The sequence below is a fragment of the Homo sapiens genome, chromosome 15, assembly GCF_000001405.40.
Source record: "Homo sapiens chromosome 15, GRCh38.p14 Primary Assembly".
Lineage (NCBI taxonomy): Eukaryota > Metazoa > Chordata > Mammalia > Primates > Hominidae > Homo > Homo sapiens.
Window position 1 is genome coordinate 59,374,052 of NC_000015.10, and position 8,311 is coordinate 59,382,362.

At 41.8% G+C, this 8,311-nt stretch overlaps 1 annotated feature.

Annotated features, from left to right (window-relative positions):
• Positions 6,013–6,514: an enhancer, noted in NCBI's record as "H3K4me1 hESC enhancer chr15:59672263-59672764 (GRCh37/hg19 assembly coordinates)". NCBI's record gives its function as "activates a minimal SCP1, AML or CMV promoter by ChIP-STARR-seq in primed H9 embryonic stem cells {active_cell/tissue: H9 hESC(primed)}" and the evidence as "EXISTENCE:reporter gene assay evidence [ECO:0000049][PMID:30033119]".

Below are 8,311 nucleotides of genomic sequence, written 5' to 3' on the forward strand. Positions count from 1 at the left end.
CGGGATCGTTCCACTCTACTCCAGCCTGGGCGACAGAGCAAGATTCTGTCAAAAAAAAAAAGAAGGAAAGAAAGAAAGAGAGAGAGAGAGAAGAAAGGAAGAAAGGAAAAAGAAATTTGGTTGTAGCTCTTCACTTGACTATCTGAGCATAGAGTTAGAAAGGGTATTAAACTTTATCTTGTCTAAAAGGGTAAACAAAATGTTACAACATGGATGAATCTCGAAAATATCGTGTTAAGCCAGGAGCAAAAGACCACATATTATATAATTCCATTTAAATGAAAGTTGAGGATAGGGAAATCTATAGAGATAAAAAGTAGGTTAGTGGTTTGCTAGGGGCTGGGGGAGAGGGGAGATGGAAGTAATTGCTAACAGGTATGCATTTTCCTATTGAAGTGATGAAAATATTCTGGAATTAGTGGTGATGATTGTACAAGTTTATGAATATACTAAAAACCACTGTGTTATGCTTTTTAAATGGGTGAGTCTTATGGTACGTTCATTATATCTCACTTTTAAAAGTTGAAAGAAAATCATATTGTCCAAATTCTTGTAGTAATCATTTACATAGTTTGGCAACAATATAATCGAATGTGTGTTATAAGACAGCACAGCTAAACACTGGAGCTACAACTGGTCCCTGCCCTCACTGAGCTTACAATTTTAGGATGGGGAAAACAAACGATAAATTTTTAGAAAGAATAAATACAGGAAAGAAGCAAGCATAATGAAATGCGACAGTAGTTTTGTGCAAGGAACTGCCATATTTGGAGCTATAGTTTAGGGCAGGAAATTCATCTGACATAGTTATGTAGTATGAATTGGAAAGAAAACAGCATGCCATCTGTACTAGGCATTGCCTAGGTACACACAGACATGATAAAGTCTCAGATAAGTCTGACTCCATATCTCATAGGGAAATATCAGCTTCAGAATATTATTAGGTCAGCCAAGCTCAGTGGCTCATGCCTACAGTGCTAGCGCTTTAGGAGGCCAAGATGGTAGGATTGCCTGAAGCCAGGCATTCAAGACCAGCCTGGGCATCATAGCAAGACTCTGTCTCTATCAACAAATTATAATAATAAAAATTAGCTGGGCATTATAGTGCATGCCTGTAGTCCCAGCTACTTGGGAGGCTGAGGCAGGAAGATCATGTGAGGCCGGGAATTCGAGGCTGTAGTGAGCTTTGATCGTGCCACTGCACTCCAGCCTGGGCAACAGAGTGAAGCCCTGTCTCAAAACAACAACAACAACAACAACAACAACAAAACCTATCAGGAATTTTAGGAGTGTATGAACAGAGGTTACCAAGACGGAAGTGTCAGCTTACCAGTAACACAAGAAACACTACCTAAGACACCATCCCATCCATGGTCAACCCTCATTAGTAGTCAGATTGACATGGGCTTTGAGATGTACAGACAAAGGCATAGTTTGTTTCCCAAGATTAGCCCAGGTATACAATGAAACACTGAAAATCTCTTAATAAGCCATTGACAGTCGACTGACAATTGATCAGTCTTGGATTTATCAAAAACTACCTTGAGACTATTAGTCCATTATATCATCATTTCTGATTTTTTAAAAAAATGTTTTAGCGTTTACTTTTATTGCCCTAATAATCTATAATCTCTTCCAAGTTTCAAGAGGTACATCTAACTGTAGTAGGCAGGACTTTGATGAAGATGTATGCTTGTGTTCATTTTTTATAATATATATGAGATTTTATATGTACATATGATTTATATATGATTATATATCATTTTATAATATATATGAGCATGAGATTATTATAAAGTCATATATATATATAAAAGCAGTTTTTGCCGGGCGTGGTGGCTCACGCCTGTAATCCCAGCACTTTGGGAGGCCGAGGCGGGTGCATCACGAGGTCAGGAGATCAAGACCATCCTGGGTAACATGGTGAAACCCCGTCTCTACTAAAAAAAAAAAAAAAATACAAAAAATTAGCCAGGCATGGTGGCTGGTGACTGTAGTCCCAGCTACTCGGGAGGCTGAGGCAGGAGAATGGCGTGAACCCAGGAGGCGGAGCTTGCAATGAGCCAAGATCACACCACTGCACTCCAGCCTAGGAGACAGAGCGAGACTCTGTCTCAAAAAAAAAAAGGAACATTTTCCCAATTCTGATTTCCATCTGTTTTTCAGAGGATTCAGTAATATATTGCCAAATATTTATTCTTTCTTTTTTTTTTTTTTTTGAGACGGAGTCTTGCTCTGTCACCCACGCTGGAGTGCGGTGGCGCAATCTCGGCTCACTGCAACCTCTGCCTTCCGGGTTCAAGCTATTCTCTGCTTCAGCCTCCCAAGTAGCTGGAATGACAGGCACCCGCCACCACACCCAGCTAATTTTTGTATTTTTAGTAGAGATGGGGTTTCACCATCTTGGCCAGGCTTGTCTTGAACTGCTGACCTCGTGATCCACCCACCTCGGCCTCCCAAAGTGCTGGGATTACAGGTGTGAGCCACCGTGCCCGGCCTTCTTTCTTTTTTTGAGATGCTCTGTCACCTACACTGGAGTGCAGTGGCTCTATCTCGGCTCACTGCAACCTCTTGCCTCCTGAGTTCAAGTGATTCTCCTGCCTCAGCCTCCAGAGTAGCTAGGAATACAGGCGCCCACCACCACACCTGGTTAATTTTTGTATTTTTAGTAGAGATGAGTTTTCGCCATGTTGACCAGGCTGGTCTCTCAAAGTCCTGATCTCAAATGATCTGCCTACCTCAGCCCCCTAAAGTGCTGGGATTATAGACTTCAGCCACTGAGCCCAGCCAGATATTTATTCTTATTCAAGACCATAGTAGCAGTGAAGTGGAAGCAACTTTTAAAATTGTAAAACTCATTCTAGACACATGATGGAGCTAGTCAGATAAGGCTTTGTAAATACCTTGGCATGATTAATTGCATTTTTTCTGGGGCTGAATGAAAAGGAACAAATAAAAAAATCAAAATGAATACAAAGTAAAATTTTCTGTATAAATCTATCAGTGAACTAAATCATTGTTTATGCATTTTGGAAAGCAGCAAGAAAATAATATCGAGCAATAAAACTAGTTTCCCTGTCAATACCATAAAAAATCATTCAGAATGCACTCACAACACTAAAGTTAATTAATGTGGGGCTGGTGCGGTGGCTCACGCCTGTAATCCCACCACTTTGGGAGGCTGAGGCAGGTAGATCACCTGAAGTCAGGAGTTGGAGAGCAGCCTGGCCAAACATGGTGAAACCCTGTCTCTACTAAAAATACAAAAAAAAATTAGCTGGCTGTGGTGGCAGGCACCTGTAATCCCAGCTACTCGATAGGCTGAGGCAGGAGAATCTCTTGAACCCCGGAGGCGGAGATTGCAGTGAGCCGAGATCAGGCCAGTGCGGGCCAGCCTGGGCAAAAAGAGTGAGATTCCGTCTCAAAAAAAAAAAAAAAGAAAAGAAAAGAAAATTTGGCTGGGCACAGTGGCTCACACCTGTAATCCCAGGACTTTGGGAGGCCAAGGCAGGTGGATCACCCGAGGTCAGGAGTTTGAGACCAGCCTGACCAATATGGTGAAACCCCGTCTCTACTAAAAATACAAAAGTTAGCCAGGCATGGTGTCCTGCACCTGTAGTCCCAACTGTAGTAGAGGCTGAGACAGGAGAATTGTTTGAACCCGGGAGGCGGAGGTTGCAGTGAGCCAAGATCCTGCCACCGCACTCCAGCCTGGGTGGCAGAGCGAGACTCCATCTCCAAAAAAAAAAGAAAATTTGTCAATGGGAAAATTAGAAACCTTTAACAAGACACTAATGAAAGAGAGACTTGTATCATATCAGTGTGAAATGTCCTCTACAATCACTATTTTTATCATAACATACATCATGTATTAGGTTCACTAGCTATTAGCTACTGAGCTAAGTGCTTAATGTGCAATATCTTATGTAATCTTCCATACGACCCTGTTAGCTCCATTTGCAGTTAAGAAACTAAGTTGAGAAGACTTAAAGTAATTTGACCAAGCTATTACTCAGCTATCCTGCATCAAATACATACATTTGTCTGGCTCTGAAGCCTACACTATTACCCTTTAAGCAGTGATTGCGTAATAGAAATGTCCATCAGAAGAAATTGTCCCTAATGCAGGCCCAAAATGAATAGGAACACACTTATTAAAACCCCGTGAGCCTTTCCAAACCAGAGCTCCCAGAAAAATTGTTGCTTTTTAATGGAATATAAAAATTACATTTACACAGTAAGTTTAACTCTAAACACTTTTTCCCCCAGTATGTTGATATTGGTTTATAAAAAGGATGTTGAAGAGAATTTCACCAGTTGTATAATGTAACATGATGCTACTTCTGATTAAGATAAATTAAGGCCAGGCACGGTGGCTCACACCTGTAATCTCAGCACTTTGGGAGGTCGAGGCAGGTGGATCACCTGAGGTCAGGAATTCGAGACCAGCCTGGCCAGCATGGTGAAACCCCATCTCTACCAAAAATACAAAAAAGTAACCGGGCGTGGTGGCAGGTGCCTGTAATCCCAGCTACTCAGGAGGCTGGGGCAGAAGACTCACTTGAACCCAGGAGGCAGAGGTTGCAGTGAACCGAGACAGTGCCATTGCACTCCAGCCTGGGTGACGGAGGGAGACTCTGTCTCAAAAAAAAATAAAATAAAATAAAATTATTTTGCCTTAAGAATTATTTTACTGAAGTAAAGGAATAGAAATGATTTAAATATATGCTTAAATTAGCAGCTTATTAAAAGCATGTTTGTGTAGATTTATTATTATATTTTCTCTGATTTAAATCAATATTTTCTTTTCTTCCAGTTTCAATTTGATTTTTACATTCAGAAGATAAACCTTGATCTTTCTCCAAATCTAAAAAATTTGGAGTTGAAACAATGATTAATACTAGTTATGGTGGTCCATGATCTAGCAAGGAATGAGGAAGTCCATGGAAATGAGCTTTGCAGATAACTAAATCTCTTGTCCATACCTTGATGTTCTTTATTTTCCCCACTCACTGTCAATGTTTACTTTCCTGTTGGATCCTGTGTATTCTTATAAGTCATCTGAGCTCTTTGCTACAACAAGGCAAGGCATGGATCAATAAATATGTGCATTTCAAAAAGTAAAAAATAACAAATCTCTGCATGAACCTTGCCTTTTTTCCTTTTTTCTTTCTTTTCTTTCTTTTTTTTTTTTTGTTTTTGTTTTTTTGTTTGTTTGTTTGACAGCACCACACTGTGTCTCCCAGGCTGGAGTGCAGAGGCACAAACAGGTATCACTGTGCCAGGCTCAAGGGATCCTCCCGTCTCAGCCTCCCAAGTAGCTGGGACCATAGGTACACACTACCTATAGCTCGGCTAATTTTTTTATTTTTTGTAGAGACAGAGTCTCACCATGTTACCCAGGCTGGTCTCGAACTCCGGGCTAAAGCAGTCCTCCAGCCTCAGCCTCCCAAAGTGCTGGGATTAAAGGCATAAACCACTACACCCAGCCAAATCTTGTCATTTTTAGATACCAAGACTTTTTTTTTTAACTTTAAGAAAAGTTTTTTCTGAATGAAACTACACATTTCATGGACTTCTGAAAATACATTGAATGTCAGGCAGCTTTTGCTTTAAGACTCAAGGTCATTACCATAAATATTGATTATTGCACAGGATTGCACGAACCAAGGTCCTGGGGGACTGTCAGATGAAATGACTGTTTGCCACTATCTTTCATGGTCTTGGACTGCTGTACTTATATGGTTCTCCTGTGTTTTTTTTTTTGGTGTGTGTGTGTTTATATCCTCCACTGGCAGAGACTTATTTATTTATTCATTTATTTATTTATTCATTCATTCATTCATTTATTTTGAGATGACATCTTGCTTTGTTGCCCAGACTGGAGTATGATGGCATGATGACAGCTCACTGCTGCCTTAAACTCCCGGCCTCAAGCTGTCCTCCTGCCTCAGCCTCCCAAATTGCTGGAATTACAGGTGAGTGACCACATCTGGCCAAGAGAGACTTTTTTCTGCCGTTATGTGTTGCTCCAATTTAGTCTCTTTTACTAACAAGGATCAGAAGAGCACATGGGTTACTTTAAAGAAAATAATGTTGTTTTTTTTTTTGAGGCGGAGTCTCACTCGGTTGCCCAAACTGGAGTGCAGTGTTGTGATGTCGGTTCACTACAACCTCCGCCTCCCAGGTTCAAGCGATTCTCCTGCCTCAGCCTCCCAAGTAGCTGGGATTACAGGTGCACGTCACCACACCTGGCTAATTTTTGTATTTTTAGTAGAGACAGGGTTTCATCATGTTGGCCAGGCTGGTCTCTAACTCCTGATCTCCAGTGATCCAGCCGCTGCACCCTCACAAAGTGCTGGGATTATAGGCGTGAGCTACCATGCCTGGCCTTTGCTTTATTTTTTTGCTTTTGTTTTTGTTTTTGTTTGAGATAGAGTCTCACTCTGTCACCCAAGCTGGAGTGCACTGGCACGACCTTGGCTCACTGCAACCTCTGCCTCCCAGGTTCAAACGATTCTCATGCCTCAGCCTCCCGAGTAGCTGGGACCATAGGCACGTGCCACCACACCTATCTAATTTTTGAATTTTTAGTAGAGATGGGGTTTTGCCATGTTGGCCAGGCTGGTCTCGAACTCCTGGCCTCAAGTGATCCAAGTGCCTCAGCCTCCCAAAGTGCTGGGATTATAGGCGTGAGCCACTTCACTAGGCCAGAAAGAAATTTTTTTTTAAAGTATACATGCCCAGGAGCCCAGGAAAAACAAGACAAAAGAAGGCAGGGCTGTGCATCTCTGCGTGGTTGGATGTTCTTTTCTTGTCTGTCTCTTGAAGCTTCTCCCACTTAACTCACAGTTGTTCCTCTTCCCCGATTTCAGCTTGCAAAGTGCCTGTAGCCTGTCACGATCTGACTTGGGCCCTAGAATAACGTTTTTTACAATGTTGCCCACAGCTCACTGGAAACTGCCCTCTAGACTTTTGATTCAAGTTCCATAGGGAGAAAGGGACGGAGAGAAAAAAAGAAAGAATCTGACTCACCCAGCTCAACCTTTTAAATCACGCCACCCAGGTCATAGGTCACTGACAAGGAAGGCTCTGCTGGGACCAGGTGCCTGTCCAGTCACATTCCAAGCAAATGCTGTGAGAGGAGTGATGTCCTAAAGCTTACTGCCCCATTAAAAAGAGATGGCAGATGGGGACAGAGTCTCTGGGGAAGGAAGACAGGGTAGACACTCCAAATTTAGGGCATGCAGCAGTTTGCTGACTTTGCCTGTCTGCTGCCTCGATTTCTACACTTAGTGAGTCCAGGAGGGTAATTCCGTTCACCTCTTCAATAGAAAAAAATGTATGGCCTTTGTAATGATCATCATCATTTCCCCTTTATCATCATTGTGCCTGTAAATGTGTTTACATACTTGAGATGTGACATCATTTTTCCTTTATTATCATGTACTTATAAATGTGTTTTTGATTACATGCCTTTAAATATTTGTGTAAACACATAGATGTGTGTGTTGTGTGTGTGTATTTAAGATGACATTTTTTTCTTTTTTTTTTTTTTTTTTGACACAGGGTCTCACTCTGTCACTCAGGCTGGACTCCAGTGGTGTGAACACATATCTCAAGCAATCCTCCTGCCTCTGCCTCCCAAGTAGCCAGAACTACAGGCGGTGCCAACATGGCTAGCTAATTTTTTTTTCTTTTTTTGTAGGACTGGGTCTTGCTATATTGCCCAGGCTGGTCTCAAGCTCCTGGGCTCAAGCGATCCTCCCTCCTCGGCCTCCCAAAGTGCTGGAATTACAGGTGTGAGCCACCATGCTCAGATAGATGACATGTTTTTCAATATATTGTTACAAACACTTGGGGAGATTGAATAGAGTGTTTCTTGGTGTTCAGCATGATGGCAGCATGGTTTCCAACTGACTACTGTTATCACTCACCACCACAACCAACCTTTACTGAGCACTGTTGTAGGTGCTGGAGAAGTAGAAGACAAGTTCCCAGTCCTCATAGGATTCACATGTTTACATGTACATCCAAAACATACAACAATGCAAGAGAGTTCTACCTTCATATAGAACACGTTCCCAAAACACACACCAATGTCAGATATATAAAGTTCAAAGACAAATCCGTGTGCTTTAAGCACAGGTTTCTATTTTCAGAGATCTAAAATGTAGCATAAAATCCCTGATTGTGTGCTGTCCCCTAGACATAGTCTTAAGCTATAATTCCAGCATGCATAGATGTTTTTAAAATCTGAGCATCTCCATCCTAGCTGAGCAAAGTTGACCACCTGAAGTCCAATAGGCAG